Here is an 18,673-nt window from a genome sequence, read left to right as displayed (position 1 = left end):
GGATAGAGAATTTTCATAGGGTGGAGACTCTCCCCCAACCCAAAACACTGCAGCTCCTACCCTATTCAGTGTTCCTCCATTCACTTATCACCATCTAACACAATTTCATTTATTTATTTTGTTTTTATCTTTCATCACAAGAACATAAGCTCCAAGAGGGCAAAGATTTGGGTTTGTTTGTTCATTGCATGTCCCTGATGCTTTATTAAAGCAGGATTTGAAACACAGTTGCTGCTTAATTAACATTTGTTGAATGAACAGATGTAATTTCTGTCTATATTTTGTCAGATAAGCAACTACCTTCATTTTAGGTATGCATGTACACCTCACTATTATTCTTTAAATGAGCACGGAAGTTTTGCTTTTGAAATTCTTGCTTGGTTTTGTCAGATAGTGTTGACTAAGCTGAGGATTGTCACAGAAGTGGTCTCTATCTGGAAAGACCTAGACTAGAAAGAGAAGATGCTGTTGCCTCTCCCATTATCCTTTTATTCTTCCCCACTCCCTATCTTTCCTGTCTCTGTGAATGCACTGCTGAAGACCTAAGAAATCAAACTGGACGTCCACTCTCTGTACTCCATTTTGACTTGCTCTCCACTTCTGGGTGATCACTATCTATCATCACCCAATTCCATAGACTGGGTCATGCCTCAGGTTTTCCTTTGGTTTAGTGAACTTAATTACATACTGTCTTATCATCTTAAATCTCTGGAGAAGTAGGCACGAAAACAAGCAGGATGCAGGTTCTGGGGGAATTCACCTGCACTGATTTGCCTATGTGACAGTAGTGATTATAAGAGACATGGGAAACAAAGCATTTCAAATTATAGTCTACTTAAATATAAAGATGTAACTGTTCCTTTCTACATGTACCAACCACCTAGCTAAAGAGTATAAGGATAGTATTTGTGAGGCTAGTTTTCATCGTGTCTGCATGGATGAAGACTTGAAGATGGTTGTTTTCAAGTCATGTTTAAGATCCATGAATTAATTACTAGCATTTATAAACAGCTTTGGATTCCTGAAGTATATCTGACTCTTCTTTTGTCCACATTATGGCAAAGCCATGATTACAATAATCATTATGTTTAAAAATCACAGGATTAAAGGCAGCTAGAGAGGTCATGTGGTACACCTGCTAGCAGAACATATCCAAATCATCCAGTCTGTTTTTTTCCAACACTTCGAGAGAAGAGACACAATAATTTTCTCTCTACATAGGTTATTTGAAGATCAGAGATGTGGGAGTTTTTTTTTTTTTTAAGTTTCACTCCATAATCCAATTTTAACTTCATCTGAGATTACTTAAAGTATTTCCTTATTGTCCAACAGTTCTTTCTAGTTCTGCTTCTGAAAAGTAGAAGCTGGATAGAAAAGGCTGCTATAAGGATAGAAATAGGAATAATAGGAAGGAGGAGAGAGTAAAAGAGCAGGGTTGAAAGAAATCAGAAAGAGGAAAATCAAGAAGACGTGTAAAAAGAATTCAATGTTTTGTTACCCTTTCATTTTTTGATTTATAAGAGAATTGATCTGGTTCTTTTCTCCAGACATTTGCCGCCTGAATACAAAGTACAAACAGACTCAGGAATGACTAAGAGATGGATGGTTAACTATAGGTTAGCTCCAGAATAAACAAGTCCAGTTACTTAGAAATAAAATGTGTTAATTCTTAATATAATAAAAGCATGTAGTAATAAAAATTCAGTCTATATAGAAAGTTCTAAGAGGAAAAGGCAAAATTTCCTGCCTACTCCCCTGCCATGTCTAGTCCTTTTCAGCCACTGTTAAAATTCCTTGAGTGACTTTCCAGATAGAAAAATTAAGTGCATCTCTCTGCATATATGTGTGTGTGAATGTGTATGTGTATATGTGTGTCGGTGGGGTACGGGGGGTAGGATGAGGGATGCTTATTTGAAATTTTATTCCATAGAAATAATATCATACCTCCTATTTTTTCTTCCTAAAATAGACTAAAATACATTTTAAAGATCTTTCTACACGCTTCAGTCATTCAAGCTCCATAAGTAAGGGGAATTTGTCTTTTTAAGCACTGTTTTTCTTCAACAGAAACTTATTAGGTAAATGAATGAATAAATCAGCAAATGCCAGATTAACTTCACTCTTCTGAAACCAAGTATAACATTATATTGTTTTAATGTACCGGAAGTATCAGTCAACTACTGATAAACATTTAAAATATTTTCAGATTTTGGCTATTACTGTGCAAACATTCCTGAACATATCTGTTAAATCTTGCACATATGTGTCTGTAAGTAAATCTAAGGTAATTACTTAGCAATGTAATAGTTCAGTCAGTTGCATTTAAAATTTTGATAGATATTGCCTAACAGGTTGCATCAATTTACACTCTCACTTCAGTACAACTTCTACTCTAGGGCAACTCACAAAAACTAAACGTTAGTGACTAAAACACATATTCCTAGAAATGACATATTCTTTCATCTATAGCGTTTTAACAGAAACTGTGTCAGGTGAAATCTTGAAACACTAAAAATCCTTTGGCTCTGCTGAGCACTGGGGACATCCTTTTTCTCAAAGACAAAATGCTTGTTCCTACTGGCCGGCTTTTTGGAACTTGGCCAAAATTCACGCTAACTGCTTCTTTTGTATATTCTAATAATAAAATATAATCCTATTCTTCCATTTTTATAAAAAGTTTAATATTTGCATCCTTGTTAAATACAAATAACTATTCAAGAGCATGCAGATATCTTTGAGAAAGTTATTTATATGAAGGATACAGGTATCGGTCCTATAGAAGTGCTTGAAATCTATCACTTTGGCTCTCACATTAATTCCGCTGTCTATTGACATTAAAATAAGAAAAGTAACCTATAGACAGAAAGAAGGTTGTATTCCCATTAACATTCATGAGGGCTAAGCAGCCGAAGTCCTACATATCAAGCAGGGAATATATCCTTTGTCTGCTGATGAGAGAACGTCTCAGTGATAAATGGTTACAGACAGGGGTGTCATGAGGGCAACAACACACAGAACAATTCAGACAAACTTTTTAAAAAAGTCTTCTCCTGCAGTTTTTTTTTGTGGCGCTGGGAAGCACAGTGCCTATCCCTGCTAATAAAAGAAAACTATTGCAATGCAAAACTCCTAACCTTTGCAGAGGCACTTACCAGAAAACCAAAAACATACTCTTTGAAAAACAATTTAAAACCAAGCTTCAAAGGCTTTCTAATGTATAAATATTCAGACATTCTGAAAAGCACTGCTCTGCACCCTGCACCCCAGCTATTTGTGCCTAAAATGGATATTGTCGTAACAGTTAGCATGGTTGTCAAAGTGCAACGTCTCTAATATCAACACTGAGAGACATCAGACTCATTAAAATGCTTTACATTCATTAATTAGGTTGGTGCAAAAGTAGTTGCGGCTTTTGCCAAAGTCATACATAAATTCAAACACATTATGATACTCATTTAACACATTTGTGATAAAAATCATGTATGAAGTCATGAGTTTATTTAATAAGCTAATATTCCATAGAGTCCAATGGTGACTACCAATGACTCAGTTAATTTTCAAACCAAAATAAGTTAGATTACAATTTGTTGACTCCCTTGACTCCTCGAGCCAGGGAAAACATTTCCTGGGGCCTGACTCTAGGTGGCTCACTTCCCTCACCTAAAAACAGGAAGGGTGAGACAACCCCCTCCAACCCTCGTCCTCGGTCCCCCAAGGATTTCTCTCCAGAATTCTGCCTCTTCTGCAGCAGTCTGGAGTCTTCAGCATGAAAAGGGTAACAAACATGGCGCAATTTTCTGAAACCGTGATGTCAACAGTGTTTTTGAGGTGTCCTTTCCCACCCTAAAGAAAATTCGAGATGCACAGCAAGAAAAAAATGCAAGACAGCTCCCCGACACATCCTGAGCCACGCCTCGTCCTCAGGGTGCACCCGACAGTCTCTGCCAGCGCAGTGTGGACGCTGGACAAAGACGCAGCCAGTAGGTCGCTGGTGGTCGCGGGTTGGATCCGCTGACTTGGCCACCAAATCTTTTCCTCGGGGAGTGAAGCGGCACGGAAGGAGCGGAGTCAAGGGCGGGGCTGGGGATTGGACCCGCCCCCGGGCCCGGGGATTGGACCCGCCCCCGGGCCCCGGAGGAGTCCCTGCGCCTGCGTGCCGGGCGTGGACCTGTGGTTGGACTCCCCCGTTTTGGGCTGCCCTCCGCGTCCTCCCCCGCCCCTTCCCACCTCCGCCCACTTGACGCGATGACGCATCTCAGGTTTGCGGACGTGGCGGCGGCGTACGGCCCGGAAGGCGGAGACGTTGGCGGCAGAGGCGGAGGCGGACGGGGTCAGCCCAAAGCAGAGGCTCGGCCATGAACTTACCCGGGACAGCGGCGGCGGCGGACCTTTTGGCCATCTTCTCGCAGAGTGCTCCCTGCTAACGGGGACAGGTAAAGATGGTGGCAGGAGGTGAGGGTAGCCCGGTCCAGGAGGGCGGGGTTGAGCCCCAGCTGCGTCCTCACGGGAGGCGCTGAGCCTCGGCCACAGGTGTGGTGGGGGCTGCAGGGCCGGGCTCGGCCCGTGTGGCGGACACCCCCGAGACAGGGAAGAACTTCCAGACCAGCCCTGCCAGGCCCTCTTGTCACACTGTCGGGGAAACTGAGGCTCAGAGGAAGGACGCCTACCTGCTGGATTACCTGGGCAGCTAATTTCCCACCCAAACACAGCATTTCTCCCACGACTTTATGTTGGCGTGAAATATTCGCTGACGGCATCTTGTCACATCGTTCAAGTGTCATGCTGTGACAGAAGACTCTGAGACGTAATCTTCGCTGACGATAGCAGGGAAAGAAAAACTTGACGTGTGGAATACAGAGGGAGGAGGTAGTTAAGTTTTAAAAAACAAAATTGTCCCTGGCAGCGGATAGGGTGCCTTTGATTCTGTCCCTTTGCAGCTTTAACTTGTGCCCTGTGACCCTCTTATTGCACCTTGCTTAGTTAAAGAAGGTCAAGGCGAAACACCCAGCAGCCATTCTACAGTACGAAGGTGTTTGGGAAACCGTTTTCAGTTACAGACTGAGCTGAAGAATGCTTTAACACTGTTTTGTGGCCCCTCGTAATCTAGGTAGCACGCAGGCTTGTTCCAAGTTTCTGAAAGGGAGTTCGTGCCTTTTTCCTGCTCTAAGAGAATTAAGAGAGGTGAATAGAATTGAGCCAGATGACTTAAATATTATGTATTTTCTAATCTCTGAGTAGTAGACTGGAGTGATCGCCTGGGTCAGTCTGTTCACTTCGGTTGAAGACACAGCCAGTTCTTGATCATTCAGAATACCCAGATTTGTAACACGATAGTCAGCTGCCTGCATTTCATTATAAAGGGGAGTGGAGAGATAGTGAGACAGGTGAAGTTCTGACCTTTAAATTATATTTAGAAATATATCGTGGAGAGAGGTTGATAGAAACAAGTATCTAAAATGGCTTTGGGGCATTGCTTAGTGATTTTCAGTTAGCTGCACTACTAAGCCAATTTTGAAGTTCTAAGTACAAATTATTAGGGTGAAACTGTCTAACAAGACACATAAGTAGGTCGGTATAGCCAAGTGTAAATTGCTGTATATTAAGTCTTAACTTTTTTGATCATGGATGCCTTTTGAGAATATGAAGCAATGAAAATTCTCCCCAGAAAAATATACATATGTATAAAATTTGCCTGGAATCTACAGGATTCAAAGACATTCCCTAGGTTAAAGACACAAGATTAAAAAAAGACCTGGTTAAATGAGTGGAAATAAAACTGTTATCCTTGGAGGAAAAGATGTGGTCATGACTTCAAAACTGCTTTTGAGATATAAAATGTGATAGTTTTCTTTAGTTTCATAGCTGTCAAGTTAGGAATCCTAGTTCTTGGTAATAATGTAGCACTTCAGAGAACAGTTGAAATAATCTACTTAACATATAGCTATTAGTTATCTGTGTTATCTGAATAGGAACTCTTGAGCTTTTAAAGCATTATAATATTGCCATTAGAGCAAGGTCAGAAAGTGCTTTTCAAGGGTTGGATTCAACTATATTAAATAGTTTTAAAGCATTTTATGATAAGTATATGCCTAGAAAGTACAGGTTGGGTAGTCCTTACCTGAAATGCTTGAGACCGGAAGTGTTTCAGATTTCTTTGGATTTTGGAATGTTTGCATATACATAATAAGATACATTGGGGATGGGACCTGTCTGAACATGAAATTTGTGTTTCATATTCAACTTATACACATAGTCGGAAGGTAATTTTATATGATTTGTGCACAAAAGTTCTTGTACCTGGAACCATCAGCAGGTAAAAGTGTCACTATCTCAGCCACCCTTGTGGAAAATTTGTGGTTGTTTGGCATCACCGTCATTCCTAACTCTGAATTTGTATGCTACTAATAAGCAGTCATTTTCTTACACTTTTTCACACATAAGTGCTTAACAGTAAAAAAAAAAAAAAAAATACCATTAATACAGTGAAAAAATAATGTGTTCAGGGTACCTAAGCACATCACCAGAATACCTGTACAGGTTTAGCATTCCTAATCTGAAATCTGAAACGTCAGTTGTGGAATTTTCCATTTGTGGCTTCATGTCAGCACTCAAAGTATTTCAAATTTCAGAGTATTTAAGATTGGATTTTTGGGTTAGGGATTCTCAACCTTTGTAATTTATTGTCATCCATTTTATATACTCAGAGTTTTGGAGTTGGTCTTTTCTGTTTTTTGTTTGTTTGTTTTTGTTTCGCTTGGTACTCATCCATAGTATTCAAAAAATAGTGAGTCTTTGAGATGTTATTTTGCTTTGGCTTCCATGACATAACACTTCCATGGTTTCTCCCTCTTCTGGACACTCCTTATCCATATTTTCAGGCTGATTTCCTTTCACCAAGATACTGAATTTTGGACTTCTTCAAGGCTCAGTCTTGGACCCTCTTCTTTTTCTATACTCTCTAGGTAATATATGTACTCACAAATTCATTTTCATCTATGTGCAAATTAGTCATGAAATTTTATTTCTAACCTAGACCTTTTCTCTGAGTTTGACTATATAGCCCATTTGTCTATTTGCCATTCCTTTTTACTATCTTAGAGGAATTCATAATCATAGCCATGCACCTCCTCCCCCAGCTCCTCTTCCATATCTCAGAGAATGGCACCACAATGTATTATGCAAATCAGAAATCTTGGTGTGATGCTTAATTTACTCCCTCTCTTCATGTCTGAACCACCTTGAGTGCAAAGAATTTTATCTCCAAAGTGCTTCTTACTACTTCCCTCCATCTTTCCCAACAAGAACTGAAAGCAGTCTGCCCCTTCTTATGTGAATAATTAACACGAAGCCAAAACTGTGAATGTGGAATTAGTTTTTTAGGTTCTTGTGTTCCTAATTAAAGAGAGTAGATAGATCAACTTGATGATGGTGAGTTGAGAGTTAGTATGCAAGTAAACAAAAAGTATTCATTGATGCCTGTTTTTAACTTAGGTCAGCTCCCAGTCAGTCTTACAATGGTTTTTCTAAAGTATAAATGAACACAGTAACCTAAAATCTGTTCACAGTCTTTATGGACCATAAGTTGAATTTGATGAGGACTCTAAGTTGGCTAAAAAGCTTCCAGGGAAGAAAAATTCCTGCTTCCAGGGAAGCAAAATCATAACCTATATTGCAGGCATATCTGCACTAAATATAAATACCAAAGTCCAGGAGGAAGTAATACGAAAGATACTCCAATCCTGAATGAAGTTGAAATGCAGAACAAGCTGGAAAGTTTTGAATTCATGAAAGTATTATGTGTATATAAAACATGCTTTGATTCCATCAGAGCTATAAGTTATATAGTCACAAGTTTTTAAGACATAACACAATTATTTCTCTGATTTTCTTCACATACTCAGAATAAGGGGAATTTACGATTTTATATTTAATGTAATATTTTATAGTATTTAATTTTATAAGTTATATTTTTACCAAAAGAATTATAGCAATTTGCCTTTGTTAATATGTAATTACTCCACGTGTTTAGTGATATATGATCTAATAGAGGAGATTACCTCTTCTTCCCTTACCTTTGTCTCCACTGCCAAATACGTTTGTTCTACTTTAACAGTTGTAAAACCTGAACCTAGGCCAGGCGCAGTGGCTCACACCTGTAATCGTAGCACTTTGGGAGGCTGAAGTGGGCAGATCACCTGAGGTCAAGAGTTCGAGACCAGCCTGGCCAACATGGTGAAACCCTGTCTCTACTAAAAATACAAAAATTAGCTGGGCGTAGTGGTGGGCGCCTGTAATCCCAGCTACTCGGGAGACTGAAACAGGAGAATCACTTAAACCTGGGAGGCAAAGGTTGCAGTGAGCTGAGATCGCACTACTGCACTCCAGCCTGGGTGACAGAGTGAGACTCCATCTCAAAACAAAACAAAACAAAACAAAAAAACGAACTTAAACCTAAATGTTTAAATAACTAAAACCATTAAAACAAAAACAAAAGATTGTGTCCTGAATGTACGATGCATGCAAATCAGTCAGTTGGATCAGCTACATTCCAAAATTTTCTCTGCTTTTTTTTTCCTCCAGATTTTAACATTATGGCAGGGAGGCATCAGAATCGTAGTTTTCCTCTTCCAGGAGTTCAGTCAAGTGGTCAAGTACATGCATTTGGAAATTGTTCAGACAGTGATATTTTGGAGGAGGATGCTGAAGTGTATGAACTTCGATCCAGAGGAAAAGAGAAAGTCCGAAGAAGTACATCAAGAGATAGACTTGACGACATTATAGTATTAACAAAAGATATACAAGAAGGAGATACATTAAATGCAATAGCCCTTCAGTACTGTTGTACGGTAAGTTTTAATATTACATAATGCAATTCAGAAGAAATTATTTGTTTACGCACACTGAAATAAATTCTGTGTCCTTTTTTACCTTGTTTATTCCTTTCTCCATTTTTTGCTCTTATTTTTTGCATAGAAATCTGTGTCACATGGGCTGGGCGCGGTGGCTCACGCCTGTAATCCCAGCACTTTGGGAGGCCGAGGCGGGTGGATCACGAGGTCAGGAGCTTGAGACCATCCTAGCTAACACAGTGAAACCCCGTCTCTACTAAAAATACAAAAAAATTAGCCGGGCGTGTTGGCAGGCGCCTGTAGTCCCAGCTACTCTGGAGGCTGAGGCAGGAGAATGGCATGAACCTGGGAGGCGGAGCTTGCAGGAGCCGAGATCGCGCCACTGCACTCCAGCCTGGGCGACCGAGCGAGACTCCGTCTCCAAAAAAGGAAAGAAAAAAGAAATCTGTGTCACATTTGTAGATGTTTACTTTTTAAATATTTAACAAATACTTGAATTTCTGTGTATTTCCAAATCCACGAATTTCAGTATTGAAAAACACTCAACTATGTTATCTTCTTATTCAAATGGTAAGAAAATGTGGAAATGTGTAAGGAAAAGCTTTTCCCTGCCCCAATTTCTTGAGATAACCAGCATTAACACTTTGGCATGTAGGAATGCTTTACCTTTTTTTGTGCTCATAAGTATTTATTTATATATACATATTTGGGGAGTTAGTAATCTTTGTATTTTTAAAAGTGGATTATATTATGCATTTTACTCTGCAACTTGCATTTTTCATTCTTTAGTGTATCATGGACACCCTCATGACCATCCCTCAAAGCCTTATTAACTCATTATTTTAAATGGTTGTATAATGTCTGTAGTATTAACGTTCCAGTATTTTTAAGCCATTGCCCTATTAATTGATACTCAGGATTTTCTTGGTGTTTTACCTTGTGTGGCAAATATCATCACAACTATATCTTTAAATGGCACTGCCTTTACTTCTGTGGGATAGATCCTAAAAGTGGGATTGCCAGATAAGAGGAAAGGTGTATTTTTAATTTTAATAGATACTATACTCTATTTGGACCCATTTTCTCTCTGTGTCATTATGTCCATCTTGAGGCCTTAGCAGGATATTTTTATATCCACATTGATATGGAAACTGGTTAGAACATTTGTTTTCAAACTTTTTGTTCTCATACTCCCAATAGAATTTTGAAATATATGTACTATGTACCTCATTGCACATTTTTAAGTGAACTTCCTAAATTCTTCCTCATGACTTAACATAGTTACAAATGGTATAATTTTCAGAATGTTGTATTAACATTTAAAAATAAGACTGTTAGAGTGCTCTTTAAATGCATCCACAGAATTCTAAGTACCACCAGGATTTGCTACCTGAAATTTGTATTTTTAAAAAAAGTGGAAAGTGTGTGTATGAGAGCTCTTTTTTCAATAGCATGAGATTTTATATCATTCCTTTTTCTCATTAATATTTTCATCTTCCCCCCAAATTTTTCATGATGTAAAGTATTTTTATACTTGAAAAACCTTTTATTGATTACCTGTAATACTTCTCTGCAATAGGAACACACATGTCTATAAGTTTATATTATATAAATGTATTTATATTCTAAAAAAATTATGGTCATGAGGTTTTCTTCTACATTTGCAACTATTGCAATAATTCACATTTCTTATTACAATTCACAATTCATCAAAACATTTCAAATTTTGATATTAAAATTTAATAAAATATTTTATTAAAATGAATTTTTTGATGTGGTGTAAGAGCTGGGTAGTTTTTTCCTCCTACCTTGCTCATGTATGAAAACATCAATTCTTGCCATTATTAAATCAGAAAATATCTAAGTTTATTTCTAAATGCAAATAAACATGTGAGTAAATGTTTTGTAGAGAAATAAGACCATTGATAAATAAATTACAGAATATGTCATAGAAGGTAGATGGTGGAATACACTTCAAAATGAGACACAAGGCTAAAAAACATCAAGGTACAGATCCGAGAGGAGAGTTTGTGATTCAGTAGTTTTATAAGACATTAGCTTTCTTTTAATGAACCTAGAAAATTTTCTTAGGGAAATTTAACATACCATCTGAATAATTAAAAATAGGTCATATTTCCAATGAGGTGTAAAGATGTTTCAGGCATTCAACAGTGATGTGAAGAAGATTTCAAGGAGGAAATATGGTAAACAACAAAGGGAATTTTCATAGTTATTTCCGAAGTGAGTGGCACAGACTATTTGGGATGAAATGCTTTGAGACACTATGGAAAAGTTTGATCCATACAGTAAGAGAACAAATATTGTAAGGTTTTAACAGGAGTGATACAGAATGGAAAAGTTTGATCCATATAGTAAGAGAATACAATTATTGTAGAGTTTTAACAGGAGTGATACAGAATAGCAGAGGGGCCTGCTGATGAATTGAAGGGGATCCAATAAAGAGATTACTGGAATAATAAAGATGATCAGGACTTAGACTAAAATATTTGTGATAAGGATAGAGAAGAAGTGTTAATGTATTGGGGGAAATCACAGGATATATCAGCTGAATGCTTATGTGAAATGAGAATGATGAAAAGTACTTAAATGGAGAGATGGCATTGGCCACTGTATTAGTCTGTGTTCACATTGCTATAAAGAAATACCTGAGACTGGGTAGTTTATAAGAAAAGAGGTTTAATTGGCTCATGGTTCTGCAGGTTGTACATAAGCAGGCAGCATCTACTTCTGGGGAGGCCTCAGAGAGCTTTTACTTAACGGCAGAAGGCAAAGCCAGAGCAGGCATTTTCACATGGCTGGAGCAGGAAGAAGAGCGAGTGAGGGAGGAGGTTCCACACACTTTTAAACAATCAGATCTCACAAGAACTCAGGACAGTATCAAGGGGGAAATCTACCTCCATGATCCAATCACCTCCCCCAGGCCCCACCCCTAACATTGGAGATTACAAGATGACATGAGATTTGGGTGGGGACATATCAGCCACTATAGTGGGAAAGGGATGAACAGAATTAGTTAAGATAAGCAGTGCTCCTTTTTGATGGAAGCATAAGCAACAAAAAAAATTATAAAAATATTTATCATTATAAAAGGATCTATCATTTAAAAAATACAGTAAGTAGCTAGTGGTATATTCCACTTAGAAATAATCTTAAGAATTATTAAAAATCTGTCAGTTATACAACTGTGATGAGAAGAATAAAAAGTCCAAGGTTGGAATCTTGAATGCAACCAAGGAAGTTGGCATAGCATAGAAGTCATTATAGGGATATTCAGGGAGATAACTTAGGTAGATACTAAACCTTGGAACCCTAATTCAAAAAGAGTATTAAGTAGTTATTAGTAAGAGTACACAATACCAAGCAAAAGAGCATTTAAAGAGAATGGGGTCAGACTGGGATTTTTCAGTGAATCTTCATTTGCTATAAGACAAAACAGTGCGAAGGTAGTAAGATGATAAAACACACTTTATCTTTACTGTTTCATCTTTTAGTTATTGTTCAACCCTTTCCTTCCAATCCCCCCACACATACATTGCAAGATAGTTTTTCCAGCTTGACCTCTTTTAGTCTTCATTGTACTTGATCACGAATCTACAGTGGATTCTGTTCACTACTCCCTGCTAAAGACCCTCTCTGCTTGACCACCTTGACTTTTCAGGTTTCTGGTTTTCCTACTATTAACATTTAATAATAGCTAACTTTTATATGACATACCATAAATCACTGTTCTGAGTGTCCTACAACATTTAAATCATTAATGTTCACCTCAACCCTATAATGTAGGTAGTATTATTACTGCCATATTGCAGGTGTGGAACCTTAATGGCAAAGAGGTTAAACAACTTGCCCCAGGTCATACAGCTAGAAAGTGTCAAAGCCATGCCTCAAACCCAGTTATCCATGCTTTTAACCACTATTGTATATTCCCTTCCTGGCCATTCGTAATCTCCTTTGTGGATTTTTGTTACTCAGCATACCCATCAAATGTTGGAGTTCTTCAGGGATGATCTTGTTGCTTTTTTCTCTCAGGCTTTTTCTAGTGAATCTCTCTACTCTTTGACCTCTTTGACTTCAATTACTTTTTTTTTTTTTGAGATGGAGTCTCGCTCTGTTGCCCAGGCTGGAGTGCAGTGGCACAATCTCTGCTCACTGTAACCACCACCTCCCGGCTTCCAGTAATTCTCCTGCCTCAGCCTCCGGAGTAGCTGGGACTACAGGCATGCACCACCATGCCTGGCTAATTTTTGTATTTTTAGTAGAGATGGGGTTTCACCTGTTGGCCACACTGGTCTTGAACTCCTGACCTCAGGTGATCTACCTGCCTCGGCCTCCCAAAGTGCTGGGATTACAGGCATGAGCCACCACGTCTGGCTGACTTCAATTACATTTTTGCTGATAGTCCATAAATCTGTGTCTCTAGCCGAGATCGTTCTTGAGTTTCAGACATATATCTACAACTCTGTCCTGAACATCTTCCACTTCTGTATCTCAAGCAGCTCCAAGTCAGCATATCTAAAATCTGCATTTAGCCTCTTTTTACCCTCCACAGTGTTCCATTTCTCAATGAATGCCATCGTCCATCAAGTTGACCAAACCAGAAATCTAAGCTTCATACTAGACCCACTTTATCTCTCTGACATGAATCAGGTGATACATGATTAGGTTTTAAAGTATTGATGGAAATGAATGGGACTAATAGATGGTGGGAGAGCCTGGCATACCAATTGGTAATCTGCCAGACACTCCCCTCTTCCCCCAACACAGTGGAATAGGATATACAGACAGGTTATCTCACAGTGGATGGGATAATACAAACAGGTTGAGGAATGTATAATATATAGAGAAAAAGCTTATAAAAGTGATTAATCTTGAAAGTAGTTGAATAATGCATTTACACTGAGAAGTTTGGGAGGGAAATGGCTTCAGAAATAAGGGGGATAAATTACCAATTTTTTAAATTCTAAGGTATATATGCTTTTCCACACATTTTAGCATCTTTTTTTGGAATGGTGGCATCTTCAATTTTTGGTGAAGTTTTTTTTTTCCCTAGATATACATAAAATAATACTGCATCTTAGAGTTATGGCATCTTAGTTTTGATAAAATATGGTAGTTTTAGTTGGGTAGCATTTGTCTATATTCCAGTTTCCAAACTGGAATAAAGAACATAACTACCCATAATCCTTCCTTCACAAATTGTTTACAAGCAGAAGGACTGTGGTATTTATGCATGATGCACAAAGGGAAGCAGCAAAGGATTCTAGAATCTACTTAAATAGCATTAATTAGTGTTACTAACATATATGGGTGATAGTAAAAAGTAGTTGGTGATTTCCTAAGATTGGTACATCTAAAGTGGTGTAGAATTCTCATCTACAAATAAAATTAAAATTTCTCTGGGTGCAACTTAATACTACTAATAATTCAACTTTTTTTTTCCTCCAAAAGTAACTAGAATGAATGACTATTGCTGCCTTTATTTTGATTGGAATTCAGTTGTATGTTGCTTTTTTTTCCCCCCCACAGGTAGCAGATATCAAGAGAGTTAACAATCTCATCAGTGATCAAGACTTTTTTGCCCTTAGGTCTATCAAAATTCCAGTAAAAAAGTTCAGTTCCTTGACCGAAACACTTTGTCCTCCAAAAGGAAGACAGACTTCACGTCATTCATCTGTTCAATACTCTTCCGAACAACAGGAAATTTTGCCAGCTAATGATTCTCTTGCTTACAGTGACTCAGCTGGTAGCTTTTTAAAAGAAGTAGACCGAGACATAGAACAAATAGTAAAGTGTACAGACAATAAGAGAGAGAACCTCAATGAGGTAGTATCGGCCTTAACAGCACAACAAATGCGTTTTGAACCTGATAACAAAAACACTCAACGTAAAGACCCCTATTATGGAGCAGACTGGGGAATAGGGTGGTGGACAGCTGTAGTGATAATGTTGATAGTAGGTATAATAACACCAGTGTTTTATTTGTTGTATTATGAAATTTTAGCTAAGGTGGATGTTAGTCATCATTCAACAGTGGACTCTTCACATTTACATTCAAAAATCACACCCCCATCACAGCAGAGAGAAATGGAAAATGGAATTGTGCCAACTAAAGGAATACATTTCAGCCAACAAGATGATCATAAACTGTATAGTCAAGATTCTCAGTCACCTGCTGCTCAACAGGAAACATAGCAATTAGCTCATAATCAAATGTTAGTGGTCACATGTGCATCTGGAATGTGGTGAATCAGTTATATCCAATAATAGCTTCAAAGGCAGAATTTAGAGAGATTGAGGATGCTTTTGTTTTTAACAAAAGGGTTTCACACTTTGAAAATTTTTTGAGCAACTAGTTGTTGATGTTGAGAGCAGTTGATCCATAAATCTGGTGTGTGAATGTTTCAAGCAGAAATTAATTTAAATGTGTGTTTAGGAAGTACTTAACTTGGAAGATGTATCATTTTTCTTAAAATGCATGTTTAAATTTTATTTTTTTAAGTAATTTTTAAAAAGTTTATTAATGTTAAATTTATGATGCAGAATGATAGCATCAGATGTCTGCAGCTGAAAAAAATTTACTACTATGAACCCCCAAAATATTCAGTTGCAAGAAAATTTGATTCTAAAATTATTCATGGTAGGATACGTAACACACCCCTTCAAAACTTTTAAAAAATACATTTAGCACATGTGCTATGAAAGCATACGTACAAAGAGAAAGGGGAAAGTGATTTATAATTCCTACAACAGAGGCCAAGAAATAGATTAAAATATTTTCAAGACCCCAAAATAATGTATTATGGTTGGGAAGTCAGTAGAACACTGGAATAGGTGAAGACCTGACAGTAATTTTTGTCTTAAGAATGCTTTCTTTAGGACAGACCCTTTAACCTCACCTCTGTGCATCTGTTTTTAAAATGATTATATTTGCCTCTGATATTTGAAAGCACTTTTGTAGTTTTGATGATGAAAAATATATTAAACGTGCATATTACCATTATTTAGGAAATAATTCCTTATATACTGTGATAAATCATTGCTGTTACATACAGTAACATGCCTTAATTACATTTAATGCCTTACTGCTTTATGTAAGTAAATCCAAGTTTCAGAATTAAAAATAAGCATTATTTCATATGGTCCAATCAGATTCGTTACATAGGCTATATAAATTTGTCTCCATTTTCACCATCAAGCACAAATAATTGGGTCAAAACTGCCTTTGAGGTCTGTTGAAGAAAATGGTTCATTAAGCAAAAAAGAGTAGAGGTATTTTATATTAGCAGTAACAGACAAATTATTTAGTAATCCCTTAACCTCTGTTTTTCAAAGAGAAAATATCCAATTTAGACTTTTTTCCTGATCTCTATATATAGCATCAAATTGGGAAACAAAGGCCAAAGGTGTATAGATTGCTTGAAAGGGGGTGGTAGTGCCTCTTTTTAAGATCTGTTGAGTCGGCTACAGTCTGGCTAAGTAAGAAGCATTTGCATACTGATTCCATCATTTAATCTTTAAAAGTATGTGTTTTAAAAATGTAACCAGAATGATTCTTCAATAGAAATGAGATTTGGTGGAGTCTGGATTGCCTGTTTTGTATATAATATATACTTAAGATATATAATACCACCTCATTTTCTGGGCATTATTTCCTAATTGTTGATGTTTCAGGCTTTTGATAAGTCATTTTATATATTTCAAATTTAACTCAGAATAAGTAAATATTTATGGCAAATGCAGTTTTATGTACTTTCAGGAGAAGACCATCAGGAAAAGACAGGACAAAGAAGTCAAACATTAAAGCCCTTGCAAATATTAGAGGACCTTAGACAATTACCAAAAAGTGTTTAATAGGGAAGTTGCAAATGATTCTCTTAGTAAATTAAACATTTAAAAAGTAGTTTTAATGTGCCTTGGGCATCTTGAAAAGAAGAGTGTGATATAATTTATGCTTAGTGTTAACTGGTCATTTTACATTGTATTTATTAAGTCTGCTGAAAAATGAGGTTTTAAGGAAGAAAATGCAGATTATTTTAGGGTAAACAGGCCAGGTGTCCTTTGAAGAACTTTGTTTACATCAAATTGATGAAATTACAGTCAGTGATTCCTTACTTTTTTTGCTAGTTGTACTTTGAAATTGTTATGGGTTCGATTTCCAAAATATGTAACTTATTTTTTAAAGGAATAAGGTGTGCTGTGTATTTGTTGATTAAAAATCATTTGTCTTGCAGAGTATCCTTTTTTGAAGGAAATATACATCCTTATAACACATCAGGTAGTTTTCTTTTTTCTGTATTTAAATTATATATTTGAATTAATTGAATATAATTTGAGTTACATATAATTCTATATAAAGGTTACATATTGAATTATGGTTCTAATCTGTTTAGGAAAGAAATGAATTTTCTAAGCATTTAATACATTTGGAATAATTTTAGTTTCTAAAAAGTACTAATGTAAGTTAAGTTTATATCAAATGCAAATTACCTTGTATAACTAACAAGCACAGTTATTGTTTAACATTATGGATTTTAATTGTGTTGACACCCTTCTTTGAATTTGTTGCTTTACATGTGTGTCTGTGTGTGTGTCTGCATGTGTGCACGCATGTACTTGTATGCAATGTAAAAGTAACAGCAGAATCATTGCATTTGGTTTACTTAAAATTTTGGAGTTAGCAAGTAAACAAAAAGCTGATAGTTTTATGAAGTCTCGGTTAAAATAAAATTTCTTTGCTATCTCACTCCTAGGAAGTTATGGAGTTCATATTTTCAAAAGATATGTTAAAAATGGTTACACACTCTGCTGGCCACATTAAAAATTAGAAGACTCATGTTAAATTATCTCCTCCAAAGGACTTTTTATTTACAGCTTTTCTTTTCCTGGACTCTACCTGCTTGGTTCAGTGTCCTGAAGAGTTATTTAAATGAACCACTACTTAGTAATTAGTTCTTTTTTAAAGTATCTACTTCTAAAATTACCTAGTTGAAAATATGAAGGATATGCTTAGTTTTAGAAATATCATGAAGCAAGGATCTAGTCAGTGTTACAGGGTAAAGGTGGAGTTTTTTAAAGTCTGTATTTAAATGGTGCACTGATGGATTCATTTTTAATTTGCATTACAAAAATGTTGCTCAGGTAATCAGTATTTTCTTCCACGTATGTGCATATTGCACTGTTAGATCATAGAAATATCTGAATGCTTTAATTTTTATGTATGCAAAATCTATAAATCTTTTGTATAATGTATTTTATACAAATGTAACTGTAGAACATTGTTAGCATGTGTATCTGTAAAACCAGTTTTTAAAATTTTTTGCCCCTTATTTTTCATATTTTGAAAGATCTCCAACATGTAATAAAGTTTCTCTTATTCAATCTAAAATGGAAGCCAGTGAATTTAATTGAATAAAGCAAAGCTTTTCTCCACTTTCAAACTATCTAATATAGAGATATTATGTAAGATAGAGCAGATTGCCAAAGGTTTACCAATTCAGATTTCTTATTTGCTACAGTGAAGCAGAATACCTTGGATTATTTGTAAGACATAGATGAAATATTTTAGATGAATGTTCTTTGGGAGATTTTCCTCAGGGTAAGATCTGGTAAGGCATGGTCCAGGAATTGCTATGAAGTTGTAGATGAGTCATTATCTATAGATTATAACCTGCTCTCTTTATATGTGATTTTAATTTATTATAAAACAACCTCAAGAATACTGTTTAAAAGATTATTAGCAGAAAAATTGAGAAAGTTCTTTGGAGCTTTTATTTATTTAATGGAGGAATGTGTATAAACCCTGA

At 36.6% G+C, this 18,673-nt stretch overlaps 1 protein-coding gene across 3 annotated transcripts, besides 4 other annotated features; it reads left to right on the top strand.

Annotated features, from left to right (window-relative positions):
* Window positions 3,641-3,900: an enhancer, noted in NCBI's record as "active region_22780". NCBI's record gives its function as "activates an Ori minimal core promoter by ATAC-STARR-seq in GM12878 lymphoblastoid cells {active_cell/tissue: GM12878}" and the evidence as "EXISTENCE:reporter gene assay evidence [ECO:0000049][PMID:35858748]".
* Window positions 4,011-4,260: a silencer, noted in NCBI's record as "silent region_16168". NCBI's record gives its function as "represses an Ori minimal core promoter by ATAC-STARR-seq in GM12878 lymphoblastoid cells {active_cell/tissue: GM12878}" and the evidence as "EXISTENCE:reporter gene assay evidence [ECO:0000049][PMID:35858748]".
* Window positions 4,297-18,255, top strand: LYSMD3 (LysM domain containing 3). 3 transcript variants are annotated; one of them, NM_001286812.1, is made up of 3 exons: window positions 4,297-4,433; window positions 8,581-8,846; window positions 14,456-18,255. In NM_001286812.1, exons 2-3 carry the CDS (start codon window positions 8,592-8,594, stop codon window positions 14,582-14,584), a joined length of 384 nt encoding a protein of 127 aa, NP_001273741.1. In that variant the 5' UTR covers window positions 4,297-4,433; window positions 8,581-8,591; the 3' UTR covers window positions 14,585-18,255. The 3 variants fall into 3 exon arrangements, with proteins under 3 accessions (NP_001273741.1, NP_938014.1, XP_047272650.1); NM_198273.2 differs by having other exon boundaries at window positions 14,397-18,255; XM_047416694.1 differs by having other exon boundaries at window positions 13,420-18,255.
* Window positions 4,526-5,026: an enhancer, noted in NCBI's record as "H3K27ac hESC enhancer chr5:89824672-89825172 (GRCh37/hg19 assembly coordinates)". NCBI's record gives its function as "activates a minimal SCP1, AML or CMV promoter by ChIP-STARR-seq in naive H9 embryonic stem cells {active_cell/tissue: H9 hESC(naive)}" and the evidence as "EXISTENCE:reporter gene assay evidence [ECO:0000049][PMID:30033119]".
* Window positions 9,114-9,615: an enhancer, noted in NCBI's record as "H3K4me1 hESC enhancer chr5:89820083-89820584 (GRCh37/hg19 assembly coordinates)". NCBI's record gives its function as "activates a minimal SCP1, AML or CMV promoter by ChIP-STARR-seq in naive H9 embryonic stem cells {active_cell/tissue: H9 hESC(naive)}" and the evidence as "EXISTENCE:reporter gene assay evidence [ECO:0000049][PMID:30033119]".
* Window positions 18,256-18,673: the final 418 nt, after the last annotated feature.

The sequence above is a fragment of the Homo sapiens genome, chromosome 5 (assembly GCF_000001405.40).
Source record: "Homo sapiens chromosome 5, GRCh38.p14 Primary Assembly".
NCBI lineage: Eukaryota > Metazoa > Chordata > Mammalia > Primates > Hominidae > Homo > Homo sapiens.
This window is presented reverse-complemented; position numbering and strand designations above follow the sequence as displayed.